We start from the raw sequence: 22,514 nt of genomic DNA, 5'->3' as shown, positions 1-22,514 counted from the left end.
TGTAATCCCAGCTACTCAGGAGGCTGAGGCAGGAGAATCGCTTGAACCCAGGAGGCAGAGGTTGCAGTGAGCCGAGATTGCCACTGTACTCCAGCCTGGGTGACAGAGCTAGACTCCGTCTCAAAAAAAACAAAAAAAAGAAAATGTATGTTCAAGGATGAGTGTTTATATTTCAGTATTCTCTATACCAATACAATATTAGTACTCAAGGTGAGGATTATTTCAAGTGTGGAATATATATACAATAGAACATTATAGAGCAATGTACTGACTTGGGAGGATGTCCATTATAACAAATTTAAGATTAAACAAAACAACGGCAACAACAATTTGACTGAATATTACAAAAAATAAGATCTCATTTTTGAGGGAGAAAAGATGGAAATGTCTGGAAGGATACATACCAAAACATTGATATTGATTATGTCTGGATGATGGAATTAGCCTATTGCCTTCTTTATAACTGAGTATTATATTTATTTTAATTATCTATTCATTGAAAAAATATTCTAGTGCTTTTACTATGTGCAGCATACCTTAAGCATTGCAGATACAATATTGAATAGGCAAACATGGTTCCTGCCTTCATAGAGTCTACAGATTAGCAAATTCCAACAGAATGTAATTATTATTGTAATAGAAGTAAAGAGTGCTATGGAATATATAACTGGGCACTTACTCAATCTGAAGAGATTGGGGGATTCAGGGAAAGTTTCCTAGAGGAAACTGCATCTAACCAGGGTCCTGAAGAAGGAATAAGAAGTAGCCACTAATAAGGGGGTGGTAGTGTGAGAATGAAGAATGTTCCATGCATAGGAAATAGCTTGAATCAAGATCCCGATGAGAGAAAGAACCATAGTCAGTATTCCTAGAGAATGGGATGTAAGGAATGCAGAGAACTGAAACCAGAGAAAAGAGAGAGGAGTCATCATACAGAGTCTTGCAAGTTATGTAAAGGCTTTTAAATTTTATCTGAGCTCAAGGGAACTGCTGAAAGCTTTTAGACAGAGAGGTGACATGATCAGATTTTCCTCTTAGAAAGATCCTTTTGGCTTCCTTATGGCCTCTGCATAGGAGGAGTAGTCTAGAGGCAGAGAAAACAGTTGCAGTATTCCAGGCAAAGGTTGGTGGAGATGCCAGTATAAAAATTAGAGAAATGGACAGGTGAAAGAAATTTCAGAGGCAGAATTGATAGAGCTAAGCCATTGACTGGATGTAGAACCAGTGAGGCTGAAGAAACCCAAAGACGACTGATCACCAATTCATCTCTTCACTCACATCCTACCCACTGTCACCTTGTCGTAAACTTCCAGACTACCTTCACCTCTCTCTTCAATAACGTGAGTTATTTGTTCAAAGTCTGCCTTTTCTGTTAGAACATGAGCTCACTATAGCAGGGACAGTGGTTGTCTTTTCACTTCTAGATACAGTGATTAGCATAATGCCTGGTACATAGTAGGCATGCCCTTTTCTTTTCTTCTTTTTTGTTTGTTTTGAACGAATAAATGATGTCAAGTTTTCTTGCTTGGTCAACTACTAGGTTATGCCCTCCACTGAGAAAGAGAACAACTGGAACAGACAGGCACATGTAGTACTTTTATGACCACTGAAGCAACAGCAACACAAACAAAAAACAGTAAAGCGATTTCTGTTTTTGGAAGAAAAGTAAAGAAGATTCTTCCTGTTGTTAAGGAACTCCAGATCTACTGGGGAGAGAGTCAAACAGATAATCCCAATATACTGTGAAATGGGCCACAATAAGAGTAGGTCCGCAGTGCTGTGGAAGCATTCAGGAGAAGCCCTTGCCCAGGCATTAGGGCCAGATAGGTTTCTTTTAGTAGGTAATATCTGACTTAGATCCTTATGGGTGAGTTGGGATTAGTTAAGTGAGAGATGGGTGGGAATTAAAGAGAAGTGAAATTCTAGGCTAATGCTGCTACCCATGCAAAGTCCTGGAGGCAGCATGAGCCTGGTGAATTCAGAAATAGGAGGCTTTCTGTCATGGATGGAGCAAGGGAGGGTCAATCGGGGTTCATGTTGGCTCTATCTTTTCCCTTATCCCCCTACTTCTGGTCAAGGCATTATTGTTGCAGCCATGGGCATTCATGGTATCACTGTGGACTCTTGGTTTTTGGTTTTGTTTTGTTTTTTTTTTTTTTTAGACATGGTCTTGCTCTGTCATCCAGACTTGAGTGCAGTGGCACAATCTTGGCTCACTGCAGCCTCGACCTCCCGGATTCAAGTGATCCCCCACCTCAGCTTCCTGAGTAGCTGGGACTACAAGAACATACCATCACGCCTGGATAATTTTGACTTTTTAAAACTTTATTTTATTTATTTATTTGAGATGGAGTTTCACTCTTGTTGCGCAGGCTGGAGTGCAATGGCATGATCTCCACTCACTGCAACCTCTGCCTTTCGGGTTCAAGCGATTCTCCTGCCTCAGCCTCCTGAGTAGCTGGGATAACAGGCATGTGCCACCACACTGGCAAACTTTGTATTTTTTGTAGAGACGGGGTTTCTCCATGTTGGTCAGGCTGGTCTCGAACTCCTGACCTCAGGTGATCCACCCACCTTGGCCTCCCTAAGTGCCACTGCGCCTGGCCTGTTTTTTTATTTTTTGTAGAGATGGGGTCTCGCTGTGTTGCCCAGGCTGGTTTCAAGCTCCTAGCCTCAAGCAATCCTCCTGCCTTGGCCTCTCAAAGTGTTGGGATTGGCATCTCAAAGTGTTTGAGCCACAACACCTGGCAACTCTTAGCTCTTGTGGCCAGAGCAGGTCGTAGTCATGCCTTCAAAATTGCCTTCACTCCTAGAAAAAAATGGAGAAAGGATTATTTAAAATCTAGAGAAAAAGGTGAGCCCATAAGTCACTCTCTCTGAATTCCAGAAGCTCAGCAAATAATCTGAGTTGAACCAATTGTGAACAAATACCAAGTCCTGCTGATGTTGATTGGACCAAAGTGATGGAGAATCTAGTTTGGAGTCCGGTAATCCTTGGGAGGCCCCAGCATCACTGCAGCTCAACTGTCATTCCTGCCTTGCAGCTCATTTAACTGCCTCTGGCAGCACTATTTCTGGCTGGGCCATCTATTTTTGGTGGCCAGGGAAGTTGTTATTTGTTTCGTTTTGTTTTGATGTGGTTTACAGTGCTCTAGTGTGATGATGAAGATAACATCTGGTTATTCCAGGATTGGGGGTGTTGTGGGTGTGTTTCTATGTTGGGGAAGGCAGCAGGAACATCATCTTAACTCCTTTTCTTTATCCACATGATGAGGCTGCCTAAGACGGGGTTTATTAATCAACCTGATGCAATAGCTCTGTCATTAGTGCTCTTGTTATCAGGCAAGAAAAGGCTGTGTACAGGATGGGTATCAGTATGCTTCTGAGTGTTAGGGGAAAAAATGGAATGGTATTGTTAATATTTTAGCATTTAAGAGACTCTGGAACTTCAGGAATTATGTTAAAATTTCAGAAACAGAGTTTTAGAAGGGTGACTTGTTTGTTGATTGTACAATCCAAAAGAAAAAAGCAGGACTTTGTGGAATTCATAGTCAGTTTTCTGAAGCAGGTATCAGTAGTTGGCTTCTGAGACAAGGGCAGAAACACCATGTTGGCATAAAAGAGTTGATGAGTGGAACACCAAGTTGGTTGGCTCCGGTTGACATTTTCCTTGGTAGAATGTGGTGTGTGAAAATTATACATATTTTTCAGAACAGGCCAAATACGTATGTTTTATGTCAAAACATAGGTCATATGTTTCTGTTTTATCTGAGGGTTATCACAAAACTTTACCTTTTTGTAAAACTTAATCTGTGAATATTCAGTACTGAGAGCCACTTAGAGCATACTTCGTCTGACCCTTCTTTTAGGGCCCTATAATATAGGTAGGATTGGTATACAGAATATTTAGACATGATTCATTCTAAGCCATTTAGCTTTAACTGAACTGAATCAAATTGGACTTTAACTGAGTCTTTATCATTAAAAAAACTCTTATAAAAGATAAAGGATTGGGTTAGTTACTTCTCTCAGCTTTGGTTTATTTCTTTGTCTTCTTTTAAAAACAAAGCTTTATTCAAACGATTAACACGCTATACAGCTCATCTTCTGAAATCTTACAATTCTATGATTTTAGTATATTCAGAGTTGTGCAACCATCACCACTGTCTAATTCCAGTACGTGTTTCTCACTCCAATAGGAAACCTCATACTCATTAACACTCACTTCCCAGTTTCCCTCTCCCTGGTTCCTGGAAACCACTAATCTACTTTCTGCCTGGATTTGCCTATTCTGGACATTTCATGTAAATGGAATTATACAGTATGTGACCTTTTGTGTCTGGCTTCTTTCACATTATCGTATAATGCTGTCAAGGTCATTTGTGTTGTAGCATGTATCAGTACTTCATTCCTTTTTATGGCTGAGTAATATTCTATGATTTGGATATGCTAAATTTTGTTTATCCATTCATCAGTTGAAGGACATTTGAAATACTTCCAATTTTGGCTATTATGAGTAATGCTGCTATGAACATTTGTATATAAGATTTCGTGTGGCCATATGTTTTCAATTTTCTTGGGTATATAACTAGGAAAGGAATTGCTAGGCCACATGGTAACTCTTTGTTTAACCCTTTGAGAGCCAACTTTAGTTTATTCATCTTGAAAATGAAGAAAACAATTTTTTTTTTTTTTTTTTACGTAGATCCAGGTTGTCAGATCCTTTAGGGTCACCACCAGGAAGATTATTTACAGTGAAGGACACTTTTTGAAAAGGTATAGGGGGCCTGAGGTAGAAGAGGGAATACCCAGTTGCAAGTGAATCCCAGGCTCAGAAGGGTCATACAGTCTCATGATTAAGGCCCTGATGCGTATGCAGTATGGGGTCAAACTGTTGGAGTTATAGTCTGTGCTCCTCCGCTTTCTCAGTGAACAAGTCAGTTAACCTCCTGATGTCTCTCTGTCCTAGGCAGTAAAATGGGGATCATCATGTCTTCCTACTTCAAAGGTTGTGGTAAAGATAAACGAAATAATACACATGGAAGTACTTTGTACATTGTCAAAACCAATGTAGATGATTGTTGTTGTGAAGATAGTATAATTGTATCTGATTAATTTTGTAATACAGGCCCAAGTCATTCAAAACAGCCAGGAATTAAACTTTTATTTGTATAATTCAGATTTTATGAGAACAGCATAGAGACGCCTAGACACAGAGATGTATTATAAATAAAATATGTGTATGTAAAATAAACCAGCCGTCTCTTCTCCCTGCCCCATCTCTTCTTGTCTATCCCCATCCCCAATCCAAAATAAGCTGGGCTCCTGGTTGTAGTTCCCTGGGTGCTAAAAAGCAGGAAATACTCCCCAGACATTTGTGTACCCTTCCCATAGGGCTGTTTTGAAAATATGACAATTAGCAAAGTTATAGGTTAAATCGTCTATTAGGCATCATCCTTGAGTCATTGTTACTGCTTTTGTCTTAGAAATATGGCGTCCTTTACATGCACTTACTGCTTCTGTAGCACAAGGCAGCCGGAGCTCTCAGTCTGAACAGGTAGACTCTCATTACCTTTTAGGGCTACAGGAGAGCTAGTGGGCATTCTGAAATTCTTCACAAAGTGATAGTTCTCTCACTGGCCTTTGGTAGGAGCGTTTCTATGAGAAAACGTGTTTCAAGCATAGAATTTCGGGATGGCCAAAGATCTTAAAAGCCCTCTAGAGCTAACTCCTAGCTGATGTGGGAACACTTTTAACAGTATCCCTGAAAGGTGATTCTTGAGTTTTGGTCAAGCACCTTTTGTGACAGGAAGTTTATTTTGTCTCATGATGTATGTACTCAGTAAAAATTTGATGTATAAACATATGGATAGAGTGTGGCAATATCTTTATTACATCTAACTCTACTAGAGAATTCATCCTTATATCTAATTGATAACTGCCTCCCTGTAATTCCTACTTTCATTCCCTTTAAAATAGTTTTAAAAATTATAAGCTGTTTTACAAACAACAGGAATATACAAAGAATAATTAAACACTTGTCCATGTGTTGAATATCTAAATGTTAGAAAACATTATTTTTAGTTTATTTTCCTCAGGTGAAAAAACAAAAGTTACCATTACAGATACAGTTGCAACCTTCTTAGTATCCTGCCCAGATCCCAGTCTTCTGACTGTCTTCCTATACTTAACTATTAAGTAGTTTCCCCAAAATGACCCAATGAGAAAAAAGGAGAGCCGGGATTTGAACGTTGGTCTTCATGGTTCAAAGCTATTGCTCTTTTCACAGTTCCACGCTACCCACCCTAGATAAATATGTATAATAGTGATCATATTTATTGTCTATGTGTAAATTGATGTAAAGTGTCAAGGGTTACTTAAAGCACTACTCTTCTGTTTTTCTATTTGCCGTATTAACTTATTTTTAAAATATTTTTATTTTCAAGGAAGGTAAAGGTAAGAATTATCCACAGATATCAAATTAGTACAGTTAAAATTGTGGAAGTTTGATTATATTTGAAAAGAATGTGTCCATTAAGAAGATTAATCATTTTTTGTTAGTGAAGCTTTATTTTTAGGAGAAAGATTGGTAAACAATTAATATGTTTTCAAGTACATACATTATATGAGCTAGCTGGGGGGTCTGAATATGATGAAGCAAATGTCAAGCTGGGTTTTTTAAAGGCAGACTTGACGGTTGGTTGTGTTAATGGGGCATGACAGGCAACAGCTGGGTGGTAATCCTCCTCCTACTGTTGGCATTGATTGAGTCTTTATTTACGTTGTATTTCTAGTCTGGACTAGAACGTTATTCCAGGGGTGGAATGAAGAAATTAAGGAAAAAGAAGGGGAGAGCCATTAAGGTTTGGAAGAAACATTCTGAGACCAGAGTAAAGATGTTATATGTACTAGGAGAAAAAGGAAGAACAAAGATAGAAGCACTTCCCCTTGCTCAAGAATCTGCAGTGTTTTATTTCCTAAGCAATGCAGAGGTTATCAACATATAGGCCTGTTTGCCATGAGCTAGTAGGTTGCCGTGTGCATCTCAGGTATGTGTGTTTTTGTTTGTTAAAGCTTTTTTTTTCTTTTCCAAGTTTCCACATGCAGCGCTGATGTTTGTTAAAGCTGCAAGAAAACAAATAAGTAAAACGAAACCTAAGCAATACACAAAGAAAATAATCTTCCCAGTCAGCAGTTCCTGGCCCTCCCCACCCCCACTGCCCTCCTCCCCACCTCCACTTCCCTTCCCCTCACTCTTATCCAGATTGAGAGCCAGGATCCTGGAGGGGCAAACTCCAGGCTTCTCACCCTGGCTTTCAAGATCTCCTTGAGACGGCTTTTTATTTCCCCTCATCTCTGTGGCCTATTTCAGGACAGTATGTGCCCTTTGCTTTGGCCTGGTGGGCACACTGCCCTTTCGCTTATGTTCCACCTGCCTGGACTGCCTTGTGTTCTCCCCACTGCCTATCCAAGCTCAACTCATCCTTTGAGACAAGCTAAAGTGCCAATTCTCTGTGGTACCTTCTCTGGCCACCTCTCCTTCCTAATTTTTATAGTTTTTACTTTTTTTTTTTCTGAGACGGAGTCTTGCTCTGTCACCCAGGCTGGAGTGCAGTGGCATGATCTCCGCTCACTGCAACCTCTACTTTCCAGGTTCAAGCAATCATCATGCCTCAGCCACCTGAGTAGCTGGGACTACAGGCACATGCCACCACGCCCGGCTAATTTTTGTATTTTTAGTAGAGACGGAGTTTCACCATGTTGACCGGGCTGGTCTTGAACTCCTGACCTCATGCGATCTGCTCACCTGGGCCTCCCAAAGTGCTGGGATTACAGGCATAAGCCACCGTGCCTGGCCCAGTTTTTAGTATTTGTACAGTTCATATTGTCCTTTATAATTTGTCATATACGATTCCATATTTGTTCGGAACTGTTGTAGAAAGTCCAGATTCTGCATGGTGTATTAAAATGAGTCTGTTAGAATAATTTATTTTACTTATAATCTTTTTATAAGGAGGAATGCTATTAGGTATGCTTTTTATCCTAAAACATCTACATAATCTTGTGTATCGATTAAGTTGTATTACTCCAATGAGAAATAAATCAGCAGGTTAATTACTCATCCATTCTTTAATTCAACAAATATTTATTGAGCACCAGCTATGTATCAGGCACCGTTCTGGGCACTGGTGACACAGCAGTGAACAAACTAAGAAAACATCCCACTTTTCTCAGGAAGTTTACATGCTGGTGGGGAGAGACAGACAAGAAACAAAATAAATAAGAAAATGTATTTTAGAAGGTGATAGTGCTACGGAATAAAAAACAATGAAGGGGGATTCGGAGAGCTGGGATGAGGCATGGGGTGCCTAAAGAGTATTCACTTCACCAAGAAGGTGACATTCAATCAAAGATGAAGAAGGTGAGGAGAGAATCGTGCACCTCCCTAGAGAAAGAGCAGCCAAGCAGAAGGGTCAACAAGTTCAAAGGCCTCGGAAAAGAAAGCTTCTCTTGCTTCCTGTTTTTGAGAAATAACAAAGAGAAACAGTGTGGCTACAGCAGAGAACAGAGGGAGAGTGGTAGGAAGAAGTAGAGGAGGTAATAGGAGAGGCAAGAAGAGGGTGTAGGGCCTCAGGCCTTGCAGTCTGGTGAAGGGACATCACCTTTCACTCTAAGTTAGATGGGAAGCCAGGGGGCTCTCCAGCAGAGGAGTAATCTGACGTATTTTGAAAGGGTCACTGTGGCTGCTGTGCTGAGAATAGACTACAAGGGAACAAGAGTGGGAGCAGGAACACCAGTTAAGGGGCTATTCAGATCATGTAAGGAAAAGATGGCAGTACTGTGGGTCAGGGTGGTAGAAATACCAGTGGCAGTAGTGGTAGTATAACATATATATAAAATATATATATAGTAGTATAATAGTATATATAATATAGTATTATATATTACATACATAATACAACAGCTACAACATATATATACTACCATATATGTTATTAATATATATACTATAATGTAGAATATACATAGTAAGATTTACAGACAGATGATATGTAGGAGAGAGAATGAATCAAGAAATGACTCAAAGGTTTGGGCTCAAAAATCTGAAAATATTGAGTTGTTACAAGTTGAAAAAAGGTGTAGTGAGGGAGGAGCATGTTTACTGGGAAAGATCAGGAGTTCAGTTTTAGATATCACAAGTATGTGATGTCTAAATTCAAGCAGAGATTTCTACTAGACAGTCAGATATCAATTGGAGTTCAGGGAAAAGATCAGGGTGGGCATGTAAACTTAGAAATGTAAGTGAACAAAACGTCATTTTTCTACGTCTTCTAGAATAAGTGTTCTACCAAATATAGTTTATTTAGGACTATTAAAACAAACTTTTTTCATATTATTGGAAATCTATGAGAATAATACAGGTGAGCCAGCCCATATATAACAAAGCAAAACGTACAATGTTTATGGAATATTTTCCTGTTCATTGATTCCACAAATATTTAGGGAGTGCTTCCTGAGTACTATGCAACAAGAATACAAGGACACAAAATATGCCTTGTCAGCTCTCAAAACACTCTAGCCAGGTTGAGGTCATCGTAAACAGACTGTGACAGCACAATGGGATGAATGCTGTTGGAGAGGTCTCAGGTTGTTATGGAAGCTGTAGGAGTTTATGAAGATGTATTAGTTAGTCATTGACTTTTTCCTTGGGCAGCTTCAGACTAGTTGGAAAGATCAAACACACAAAAAGTCGCGTAACTCTAAAAGATGTAAATAACCCTTCAAGATAACAAAAGCCACATCATAAGGCAGCATATGAACACTTGTTGAATGTTAATATCTGCCTTAGAGTTCAAAAGAGGAAGAAGTCTTTCCAGGCTAGGGTAAGAGGAAAGGCTTTGCTTGGGTGGAATTTGGGAACACTCAAGTTGAATGATCTAAGCCAAGAGTTGAATATGTACGGCTAGATCTTGGGTGAGAAGACTCGGTTGGAGATTTGGGAATTGTTTCGAAGGTGAAAGTATAGCCCTAAAAGTGGATAAAACCTCCATGGATAAAAATGTGAAGAGAAAAAAAAGTAGAAGGCTAAGGACTTACCATCATTTAAATACCCACTTTCAGGAGCTGGCAAAAAACACAGAAAAGGATCCAGAGAGATAGAAGAACAAGATATCATGGAGGAAATAAGCATAAATGTCCAACAGAAATCTAGGATGCATAAGAATACCCTGGATTCATACACAGTTTTACTTCCTGTAAAACTTTTATGAAATTATTTTACCTGATAAAGGAATCTAAGTAGACAGCCAAAGCATGATTAAACACTTATCTAAACTCTGGCAGCCTGGCTCCCCTTGAGCAAAATGGAGGTGATATTAACTGGGTTATCACCTTGAAGAGCTTAGACCAGGAAAGGGCCTTAAAAATCACTAATTTTGGCCAGACGCGGTGGCTCATGCCTGTAATCCCAGCACTTTGGGAGGCTAAGGCGGGCGGATCTCAAGGTCAGGAGATCGAGACCATCCTGGCTAACGCTGTGAAACCCTGTCTCTACTAAAACAATGAAAAATTAGCCGGGCGCGGTGGCGGGCACCTGTAGTCCCAGCTACTCAGGAGGCTGAAGCAGGAGAATGGCTTGAACCCAGGAGGCAGAGGTTGCAGTGAGTTGAGATTGCACCACTGCACTCCAGCCTAGGCAACAGAGCAAGACTCTGTCTCAAAAAAAAAAAAAAATCACCAATTTTTAAAGCCATTTCATTTTTTAAGTGAGGACAGTTAGGCTTCTAGAGAAATGGTCTATAACATAGCTATTTAGTAAGAGAACTGGGAATGGAAAAGGATATTTTGAGTTGTTTTAACTTAGACTTTTTTCTTCACTGTCTCTAACTAAGCCTAGTTGGCATTCTCAAATTCTAAGAATTCAGATTTAGTGAAAATAGTTAAATGGATTTTAAATGTGTAGTTTTTTTTTTTCAAATGGTAAATATTTGGGCTTGCCTATTTTGCCTATTTATAATCTAAATCTATTTGGGAGAATGCTTCACTCTAATTATGCCCTCCTGGGGCCACTTTATCCACTCAAACATTTTTTATTTTTCAAGGCAAAGTGCAAATTCAACTCCTAATGAAGCTTTCTCTGATCACCCCAGTAAGAACTGACTACTCTTTCTTACGGGCTCCCCCAGAGTCAACGTTTTTTAAACTCAGGCTGAAACTTATTAGTGGGTCATGAAATCCGTCGGGTGGGTCACTGGCAGAAAAAGAAATAGGAAATATCAGAGGACATCACACATAGTGATGGTGACAATTACTTTTTGAAACATTTACTTCAGTTAAGAGTGTATGCATATGTGCTAGATGGCAATGTAACATACAAAAGTTGAAAAACACAGGTTTGGAGGATCATAATGTAAAACACATATCTTAACATATCATGGCCAGCTGTATGGCCACGTAGCTCTTTGAGGGTTGGGACATTCTTGATCTATATATCCCTCATGCCCAATGTCCTACCTGGTGAGTACTCAGGAGTTGTTGACTGGAATGATTATGAAGGTTTGAGAAGGAATTGGAAGAATGAAAAGCAGGTAGGTTGGGGAGGAAATGAGGGCTTGAATTAAGTGTAAATTTTGTAGTTTCCTTTATCTTGAATGTTAATATATATTTTTTCAACCTAATATTATTGCCACAAAGAACCCGTGTTTGTTATCTGTGCTCTGGGGTTGTCTCCCATCACCTTCAATGTAATGTGGTATAAATAATACTTCCTGCTAATGTTGCAGCTGTCACTCAAGGATCTTAAATTACTTTAGGAGCAAGATCTGGTGATGAGTGCCCGGCTCCACTTGGCAGGTGCCAGAGTTAAGAACCAGTGACTGCCTGAAATCTTTGGGCTCCAGGATGACGGCTCCCTCTCTGTCATCCTCCCACACTCTCTTCTGCCCATCCCTTCTTCCATGGAGGGAGGATCCCTTGACCCTGCCTCTTTCTGAGCTTTGTAACTGGTAAATAGAGTCTGCAAAGATTCCGCTGAGCTAGAAGATTTGCTCTTTCTTTGCGGGTAGCTATGGTGTGTTTCGGGGGAAGGCTCATGGCAATAAAGGCTATTAGTTGAACTGCCTCAGAGCTCAAAAAGCTTGGGGCTGAAAACTGCAAAGGAACTCATTAGAAGTGAGCTCTGGATTATCAAAGGAAATTGAGACTCCTCTGGTTAGAAGCTCTTTAAGATTTGCACTGGACAGGAAGGGGATATTTGACATGCGGTTACCTTTGTGGGCCATTTTATGTACATGGTCTTTTCTATAGCAACTTATTTCTTGCTTCTGGCCACACTCCTTTTGGTCTTATAGTCCAAATCAGCCACAAGTCATTTAAATACCCCCTCCCCACCCTCTATTTCCTTCTCTTCTTTGCAAACCCACTGTCACCTTGAATATCTCCCCTCCCCCTTTCCTGGAAGCTCTTGGGGGTCAGTCTCTCTTTTCCGAGAAGCTGTTAACTGCCTACAGTTGGGCCTGGGAGGCTCCAGGAGGGTGACAGCAGAGTCCTGGCTTGGAGTCGGGTTACACCACTTGTGTCTGAGTTCACGCAGCATGTTCCTCTGTCAGGGATTCCGCAAATATCTCCCTGAGGTAAAAAAGGAAAGTGTGCTGCGCTCCAGCACCCAGAGCAGTGAGCCCAGTCCTGAGTCCCGGAGAGAGCTCCAGCAATAGGGGCCATGTCGCCATAGCCCCAGCCTCTCGGTCCGCAGCCTCAGCAGCGTCCCAGCCGGCTGGCTTCATGCTGCGGTGCAGCTGCACCATGTTCCTGGGTTGAGGGGGCAATCGGGCACGCTCCTCCCCATGGGTTGCCCATCATGTCTAATGGATATCGCACTCTGTCCCAGCACCTCAATGACCTGAAGAAGGAGAACTTCAGCCTCAAGCTGCGCATCTACTTCCTGGAGGAGCGCATGCAACAGAAGTATGAGGCCAGCCGGGAGGACATCTACAAGCGGGTGAGTGCAGGGGCCCGCTTCTCCGAGGCAGGGGCAGGGGCAGGGGACGGTTTGGCCTGCCAGTTGGTCGCTATTCTAGGCTCTTCCTAGCTGGCGCTGTGCTAGTCAGCGAGAGAGGTGGGGTTTCGTCCAGCTCTGGTCACCTTAACAACCTGTGACCTTGGACAAGCTCATTTCACCTCTCTGGTGCCTGCTTTCTGCTTTCCTTCTCTGTAAAGAAAGAGGACTGGAATAAATCAGAGCCTCTCTCAAACACTGACGTGGAACTGTGCGGAACAATCACCTTGGGAGCTGGTTTAAAATGTAGATTCCATGCCTCACCCTAGGGATTCCGATGTAGTAATGTGGGGGAAGGTGGGGGGAGAGGGTGGGGCTGGGGTGGATATTTGCATTTTTAAAATTTATTTATTTTAGAAACAGGTCTTGCCCTGTTGCTCAGGCTGGAGTGCAGTGTCACCATCATAGCACTGCAGCCACCAATTCTTGGGCTCAAGTGATGCCTTCTGGCTCAGCCTCCTGAGCAGCTGGGACCACAGGCACAGGACACCAGGCCCAGATAATTAAAAAAAAAAAAATTGGCAGGGCACAGTGGCTCATGCCTGTAATCCCAGCACTTTGGGAAGCCAAGGAAGACAGAAGGCTTGAGGTCAGGAGTTCGAGACCAGCCTGGCCAACATGGTGAAACTCCATCTCTACTTAAAAAGTACAAAAATTAGCGGGTGTGGTGGCATATGCCTGTAGTCCAAGCTACTTGGGAGGCTGAGGCAGGAGAATTGCTTGAACCCAGGAGGCGGAGGTTGCGGTGAGACGGGATTGCGCCGCTACACTCCAGCCTAGGTGACAGAGCAAGAGTCTGTCTCAAAAAAAAAAAAAAAAAAAATTCGTACCAAAGGGGTGGCACTATGTTGTCCAGGCTGGTCTCAAACTCCTGGCCTTTAGATCCTCCCACCTCAGCCTCCACTGTTGTTGGTATTATAGGCATGAGCCACTTTGCCTGGGAAAATATGCATTTTTAAGCAAGATCCCTGAGGTGGCTCTGAAGCAGATCATCTCCAGGTCATACCTCTCCTAGAGAAAGTGCCCTCCTAGCTCCGGCTTGGTGGGGCAGAGAATGATGCTATGGAGAAAAGGGCAGGGGCTAAGGGTGTTTCCGTTCCTTGAGAAATTCATGTTTGCTTTTGAAGATGACTATGCAGATAAGCTTTTAAGACAGAATCTTAGGCATTTTTAGTCTTTGGAATAGCTTGCCTTAAAATGAAGAAGAGAGTAACCTGTGGGATAGCAGTTGGCCTGGGTGGAGTGGGAGGGGAAATGGCCTCTTCCTTGGATGGGAGGGCTATCTTGATTGATGGGTCAGTGATCAGGGTGGGGAAGGAAGACCTACTGGATTGGCTGAGCTGTGGGTGAGATAGGACAGCACCTTGATAAGAGGACATTGGGCTATGGGTTATGAGGATTAAGCCTCGTAGCTGGTCACCACAATATTGGTTTCCTCAGCCCTCTCTGTGTCTGGACAAGCAGGACCTGAAGTGGCCCAAGTGACCGGGGACTGGTTGCCTCTGACCTTATCAGAGATTCTAACTCTCCAACTGTTTACCCCAGAGGGCTATACAAATACCATTTTCTATGTGTGCTCTGTCCTGTCAAGAGGATGGATGACTGGGAAGCGATACAGGCTGCTAGATAACATCTTGGATCAGGGAAATAGCTGGTGTCTATGAGACCCAAATGATTATTTAGTTAATTCAATTAATGTGTATAGCTAAATCTGGGGGATTTAACTCTATTTCCTGTCTCTCCTGCATTTCCATGTTTTAAGTCCAAATTTTCCAGAAGTTGGTCCAGATTCACCTTTTATCTTTTACGTGGCTATGTAATGAGTGTGCCTCATTGGAGCTGCCACGTGTCAAGAAGGATATTGCCAAGTGAGGGTTGGTAACAGAGAGATGGCGAGAGACGGAGGATGAGTGGGAGGTTTTGCCTTAGGGTTAGGGTAGGAATAGTGGATGGATTTATTCACTGTGCAGAGGGAGGAACTTTCCCCATTAACTGTCTTCAGGGCAAAGAAGGAAAGGACAATTTCTTAGGTAATTTGAGGGAAAGGATTTTGTTGTTGTTGTTGTTGTTCTGAGACAGAGTCTCACTCTGTCGCCCAGGCTAGAGTGCAGTGGCACGATCTCAGCTCACTGCAACCTCCGCCTCCTGGGTTCAAGCGATTCTCCGGAGTAGCTGGGACTACAGACGCCTGCTACCACACCTGGCTAATTTTTGTATTTTTAATAGAGGCGGGGTTTTACCATGTTGGCCAGGCTGGTCTCAAACTCCTGACCTCAGGCGATCCACCCGCCTCAGCCTCCCAAAGTACTGGGATTACAGGCGTGAGCCACTGCGCCCCCACCAGGATTTTTTTTTTTTAAAGCTGAATCAGATGGCTGTCTGAATCATTTGATCTCACTCTCTGCTCCGCCCTAGCGAAAGATCTTTAGGAAACAACTTTGGGTGGGGTGTGAGAAGGCACCATTTCTCACCTGGAGAAGTGTGATAAATGAGATTATAGGAGCTGCACAAGGTGTATGTGGGGGGAGTGGAACACAGCCTATTGTCACATGCAGAGAGGACAACCCTTTTGCTAGACTCTAGTATTGCCATGGGTCCCATACAGGAAGTAGATATGGCCCTGTCTCTATCTAGTCTTACGTGTTAGCAGAGTTGTCAGGCAGCTACTGCATCATATGATTTGAGGGATCTCAAACTACTGTATCCCCTCCTCTTCCTTCTCACCAAATGTTTGTTCAATCTGCCTGTCATATTAATTTTCTCATTTGGCTATGATTATTTGAAAAGCGCTAAAGGCTTGTGCTAAAATGTTCTTATTACTTGGGAAACAGAACACATAAAGCCATTATCAATCATTCAGAGTTGAAATTAGTTTACCACACTATGTCATGATGAGTGATTGATAGGAACTAGAGCCGTTCTGGTTTATTTTATTTTTTGAGACAGGGTCTCGCTCTGTCACCCAGGCTAGAGTGCAGTGGCACCGTCACGACTCACTGCAGCCTTGACCTCCTGGGCTCAAATGATCCTCCCACCCCAGCCTCCCAAGTAGCTGGGACCACAGGTGTGCCACCACACCTGGCTAATTATTTATATATATATGTGTGTGTCTGTGTGTGTGTGTGTGTGTGTGTGTGTGTGTGTGTGTATGTATTTTTTTTTTTTTTTTTTGGCAGAGATTGAGGTCTCACTCACTATGTTGCCCAGGCTGGTCTCAAATTCCTGGGCTCAAGTGATCTCACCTTGGCCTCCTAAATTGCTGGGATTACAGGCATGAGCCACCACACCCAGCCACAGTTCTGTTTTGATGTAAGAACGAGGGATTCGGAAAACACTGCATTAAGACCTATTGTCAACCAGGAGACTTAGTTAGGCAAGTTACTTAGCCTCTCTGAGCCTGTTCCAGCCTCTATAGGATTGACATTAACAATAATGCTACAGATACTGAGAATTATTTTTCTATGAATAAATAGCAGCCATGAAGATGAAATAAGAAACATATCAAAACACTTTATAAACTTAATAACATCACATATATATGAGAGGGTAGTAGTTATATTTCTACTAGTAGTTATAGTTATTATAAAATTTAAATATGGGGACAAGGTTTGACTCTTTATAATCTCCCCCTCATAATTCCCACAGATGTGTCTGATGTTCATTCTTGTTATTCATATTGTGATCCCACGAGATTAGGAAGATTAATTAGCAGCAATGTGCCCAGCATCACATGGTAAATCAGGTGGTTCAGAGGATAATTTAGAGTACTGTTCTGTTACCAAACTTAGTAACAGAAGTTTGATTTTTCTGTTGCTAAGAAACAGAATTTTCTTGATTCTGATTTTTTTCCTTAGCGTTGGAAGGACACTTCTTTAAAAAAAATATTGTAAAAACATTAAATCAAACTCTACTGAGTTAGAATCTGCAATAATTTGAGTGCTGTATGCGTGGTTCTTTTTAAGAAAACCAATGCTTGTGAAACATATGTAATGGAAAGTCTATTGTGAGTAGTAATTATTTTATTGATGTGCATATTTATGCTACCGGGAATTTTTGTTGAGCTGTTTGTACTTAAGAGTGAAAAATTACTCTTAGCGAGAAACAATAAAGTATTTGATTGGCTTCAGGGAAGGGAAATACGGGCAACTTTGGGAGAAGAGAACTGGAGAGTGGGTGCTATCTTTCTCTTTCCAAGTGGCAAGTCTTCTCCTAGGTAGCTGATTGAGGAGACTAAAATAGATATAATCCTTACTTGTAAATGGAAGCTATAAGGATTTTAAATTATAAGAGGAGTTGTCAAAGCTAGAGAGTTATGTTAAAAACCTAAGAGTATCAACCTCAAAGCAAGTAAATAAAAAAGAAGGAGTTTCTCTCTTTTAAGCTGTTCAGAGAATTAAGAAATAATCTTAAGAATCATCCTGGCCATGGATTAATAAAATAATATTAATTCATACATAAAAATTGGTTTCTTGAGACTGGCTACTTTTTTGTTGAGTGTTTATCCTGTAAGCTTCAATTTTTGTAAATCATCATAATAAATTTTTTAAAAAGGAAGAGGCTGCTTACCCTCTGTACCGACAGAGTGGGACATATGCCTACATGACTAGGCACTGCTACCCCCTTTTGGTAGCAAACATTAATTTTAAGTTCAGCTTTTAGGGAAGACAATTTTAAACATATAAAGCAAGCAAAGGAGAAATCATTGCAGTACACTGACTCTGAAGCAAAATAAAGTGAGAAAATGTTGTGAGTGGTCCACAGCTGAGTATGGCCCACTCCTAGGGAGACTGGCTTGTTAGCATTTCTGGACTGCAGCTGCTGTGGTAAGTAATTTTTGGGTGGCAACTTGGCTGACTTCCTCATTGTTGATTGCCTAATCCTGCATTTTCTCATATTAGTCAAGTGTGTCGCTACTGGAATCTTGTCTGACCCTGGAATTTATGAAATCCACTGCTGTGTGGTAAACACCCAGTCTCCAAACAGCACACAAAACCATCATCCACTGGGTTTTGCCCCCTGATGACTACTTGTTCAACTTGTGTGAATTAAGTTTCCATTCTAAGAATGAAATTGAAAAACTGACAAGGCCAGATCTGATAGCAAAAGGGTCAGGAGAAATAAAATGTTGTCGTCCTTGACCAGATAGAGTCAATGTTTAAATATGATGTAATGATATTGGAAGGTTAAAGTGGACTTAGCCCTTAGATATGAGTTGAGAGAGTTGTGTTGCGTTGTTTTATGACCCTTAAGCTGCCTGACTTCTCTGAGATTGAAACTTCTTTGGTTTTCTCATCTTTGAGATTGGATGATACTTTTCCTGCGCAATCTTTGAGGTTTATGCATAGCATACTTCTATAGCTATGGTAAACAGCCTACTGATTTTACTTGCCTACCAAATTGTCCTTGTTTTTACTATTCTGTTATTGCTGGGCATAACGGCTAAGAGCTATAAATTGGCGAGACCTGGGGTGAAATCTTGATTTTTCTACTTACTATTTGTGTTGGGAAAAATACCATAATTTCTCTGAGCTAAAGCAAGGGCAGTAATAACACCTATCTTATAGGGTCTAGAGGAGGATGAAATGAGTCAATTAGCTGAACTCAGCATAATGCCTATCACATAGTAAGCTCTCAATAAATATTTGCCATTATTGTGACAAATTGAGAGACGGCAAACTTATCCAGATAAGTCTTAATTACTGACACATTCATGCTGGACTATTTTTTATTCCAAATCAGTTTCTTTTTCCTCAATAGTGGACTTGGGACCATTTGTCCTATTTGTCTCAATTCTCAATTTTTGTTTGCTTGTGTGTAAATAACATAATATAATCCAAGTGCCCCTATTGCATCAAATTTACCTTGGCATTCTCAGATACAAATGTTCATTCAAAGAAAATAAATAAGAAAGGCTGGGTTGATTAAATTTCTTTTTGGCTCATTGACTGATTTTCTTTGGTCCTAGCCTGATTTCTTTAGGCTTTGGGCAACATGATGAGGAACAATATACCTGCAGACTTACAAGGAAGCTCAGGAACTCCATCAGGCGGTAGGATTTAGGAAGCTGGACTTGAACCAAAGGAAGGCTATTAGAGAAGGATGAGTATCTTGGGGGGTTATCAAAAATGTTGTGATAAAAGTTTTGAACTCTAAGGAAACCTGAATTCTTAACCTGCCTTTTCTAGCTACATGATCTTGGCCAAGTCACTTAACTTCTGTGAACCTTAGTTTCCTAAATTAGAGTCATCAATTCCTGTCGTGCTCTTCTCCCCCATGGGTAAACATGTTTTAGTGTATTAGACGTTAGATAAACAGAAAGGATTGTGATTTCTATCCTGCATAGCTGGAGACACATACTAGAAAGCATGCACCTGCTCAGGTTATTGTCTAAAGTGGCTGTGTGGCTGCTGTTGCCAGAATTAATGCTTGTCTTCTTATATGTAGCAGAGTTTGCTCTTCTTTTACACTTGGATGCCTTATTTAATTAGTGGCTATGTTTTTTTCTCCTATGTTTTACTTACACGAACTTTAAGAAATGTGTATGATGGGAAAGGAGGAACATAAGAGACAGACAAGATTACATTAGCCAAACTATTTTTAAATGGTTCTCTGGAAGCCTAGTATGAACATGGTCCATGTGTGTCTGTGTCTACGCACACTGTGTGTGCCAATTCCCCATTCTCAGCCTTCTGAGGTTCGTGAGGTCATGCTTACCTATTTCTTCTTTCAGGGAATGAAAGTTGGCAGAAATAGAGGGAATCCATCCATTAAATATTTGTAACCAATATTTATGATTTTGGTTAAATATTTTTTCAAACTTCACACTCATTAGGATGGCTATTATACTAAAAATCAAACAACCCAGAAAATAACAAATACTAGTAAAGATGTGGAGAAATTGGAACCCTTGCACATTGCTAGAAAGAATGTGAAATGGTGCAGGTGCTGTGAAAACCAGTATGGAGTTTCTCAAAAAATTAAACATAGACTTACCGTATAATCCAGCAATTCTACTCTGGGTATAACACAAAATAAATGAAAACAGGAACTCAAATAGATATTTGTATTTCTGTGTTCATAGGAGCATTGTTTACAGTAGCCAACAGGTGGAAGCAACTCAAGTGTTCATTGACAAATGAGTGGATAAACAAAATGTGGGCTATATAGACACTGGATATTATTTAGCCTTAGAAAGGTATGAAACTCTGACATGTGCTGTAACATGAGTGAACCTTAAAGATGTCATGCTAAGTAAAGTCAGTCCCTAAAGGACAAATATTTATTATTTCACTTAAATGAAGTACCTAGAGTAGTCAAATAATGAAGACAGAAAGTGGAACTATGGTTGCCAGGGGTTGTGGGGAGGAGGGAATGGGGAGTTAGTGGCTACAGTTTCATTTGGGAAAAAGTTCTGGAGATGGATAGTGATATTTGAACAACTATGTGAATGTACTTAATGCCATAGAACTATATACTTTAAAATAGTTAAAATGGCAAATTTTATTATATGTATATTTTAACACACACACACAAAATGTTTAGGCCTGGCATGTTGGCGCATGTCAGTAATCCCAGCACTTCGCAAGGCCAAGGTGGGAGGATCACTTGAGCCCAGGAGTTTGAGACCAGCCTGGGAAACATAGCAAGACTGCATCTCTGTAAATTTTTTTTTTTTTAATTAGCTGACATAGTGGTGTGTGGCTGTGGTACCAGCTACTTGGGAGGCTGAGGTGGGAGGATTGCTTGAGCCCAGAAGGTTGAGGCTGCAGTGAGCCATGATTGTGCTCCTGCATTCTAGCCTGGGTGACAGAGTGAGACCCCATCTCACACATACACACAGAAAAAAAAATGCTTAAAGCAACTTTCCCCAAAAAAGTCAGTTGCTTATAAAAATAGTGGAACTCTTAACCAAAGGAAACTCTGTTTTCTGCTTTTCCTTAACACAACTTATCTCATTTTTTCAGAGCTTTTAATTAGAATTCATAATACTTGCCTGTTGAGAAATGCTTCTTCCCTTTGAATACTTAGGAATTTTTCTTTCAACCACTGGAAAACAAATCCCAGACTAAATTCTGGGCCCTAATTTAATTCTAATCCACTTTCAGTTATCCCCCTAACAATGTCTACATAATTTATACTTCTGCATGAACTTATTACAAGGCCACTTCTTTCTATAGTGTATGTACATTCAGGTTTATGCACTGATAGAAGTAGCATGTTACACTTGAAAAAAATAGACATTCTAAATTTCTGTCTCAAATGTTTCCCTTGTTTGCAATATCATTTTAGTCATTTTTTTGCTCATATTTGCGCATATGCATTGGTATATTCAGTCAAACGTCTATTGATTATCTACTATATGCCAGCTACTGTGCTAGATTCTGGTGGAGAAGACATCAACAAATAAATAAAAATGGTATAATAAGGGCTACCATAGAGGTATGGACAGATTTTGCTATAGTGCAATAAAATCCACCAGGAAAGGCCTTGCCAAGTGTTTGAAGTTTGCATTGAATCCTAAAAGGTAGTAACATAACAAGAAATGGGAAAAGGCATTTCTTTTTTCTTCTTTTTTTTTTTTTTTTGAGATGGAGTCTCACTTTGTGGCCCAGGCTGGAGTGCAGTGGCGCCATCTTGGCTTGCTGCAATCTCCACCTCCCAGGTTCAAGCGATTCTCCTGCCCCAGCCTCCTGAGTAGCTGGGATTACAGATGCTGTGAAACATACGCTAATTTTTCATATTTTTAGTAGAGACGGGTTTTCACCACGTTAGCCAGGCTGGTCTCAATCTCCTGACCTCGTGATCCACCCACTTCGGCCTCCCAAAGTGCTGAGATTACAGGCATGAGCCACCATGCCTGGAAAATCCAGAAATTCTTTTTTTTTTTCTTTGAGACAGAGTCTTGCTCTGTCAGCCAGGCTGGAGTGCAGTGGCATGATCTCGGCTCACTGCAACCTCCGTCTCCTGGGCTCAAGCGATTCTCCTGCCTTAGCCTCCCAAGTAGCTGGGATTACAGGCGTGTGTCACCATGCCCGGCTAATTTTTGTATTTTTAGTAGAGATGGGGTTTCGCCATGCTGGCCAGGGTGGTCTCAAACTCCTTACCTCAGGTAATCCACCCACCTCGGCCTCCCAAAGTGCTGGGATTATACGTGTGAGCCACCGCGCCTGGTGGGAAAAGGCATTTCAAACAGAAGAAACAATATACAAAAGCAGAGGTGTACAAAAGCAATGTGCACTTGGCACACTGGAATCATTCAGTATGGCTAGATCATGTGGTTTGGAGGGCTTGTGGTGGTGGTAAGATGAGGCTGCAGGGGAGAAATCATGGAAAGCTTTGGACTTATCCATTCATTCATTAATAAACATTAATTAGGTACCTGCTATGTTCCAAGTACTAGAAGTTGGGACTTCAAAGATGAGTAAACCACAGGTGCTAGAGTATAGTAAAAGGCAGTAAC

General features: G+C 41.1%; 1 protein-coding gene across 2 annotated transcripts in view, besides 1 other annotated feature; it reads left to right on the top strand.

Annotated features, from left to right (window-relative positions):
• Positions 1–12,590, top strand: part of LOC124904395 (uncharacterized) — an 81,309-nt gene extending 68,719 nt beyond the window's left edge. Inside the window, exons 4-5 of one of the 2 annotated variants that reach the window (XM_047438030.1) lie at positions 6,795–7,049; positions 10,123–12,590. In XM_047438030.1, the coding sequence (XP_047293986.1) occupies positions 6,795–7,007 (213 nt within the window). In that variant the 3' untranslated portion in view covers positions 7,008–7,049; positions 10,123–12,590. Of the gene's footprint in view, positions 1–6,794; positions 9,885–10,122 lie in introns of those variants that run through there. The other variant, XM_047438029.1, reaches the window with a different exon arrangement.
• Positions 21,878–22,379: an enhancer, noted in NCBI's record as "H3K27ac hESC enhancer chr1:144709889-144710390 (GRCh37/hg19 assembly coordinates)". NCBI's record gives its function as "activates a minimal SCP1, AML or CMV promoter by ChIP-STARR-seq in primed H9 embryonic stem cells {active_cell/tissue: H9 hESC(primed)}" and the evidence as "EXISTENCE:reporter gene assay evidence [ECO:0000049][PMID:30033119]".

This window comes from Homo sapiens, chromosome 1 (genome assembly GCF_000001405.40).
Source record: "Homo sapiens chromosome 1, GRCh38.p14 Primary Assembly".
Lineage (NCBI taxonomy): Eukaryota > Metazoa > Chordata > Mammalia > Primates > Hominidae > Homo > Homo sapiens.
Note: the sequence above shows the minus strand (reverse complement) of the source record. Positions and strands in the feature narration are given on the sequence as shown.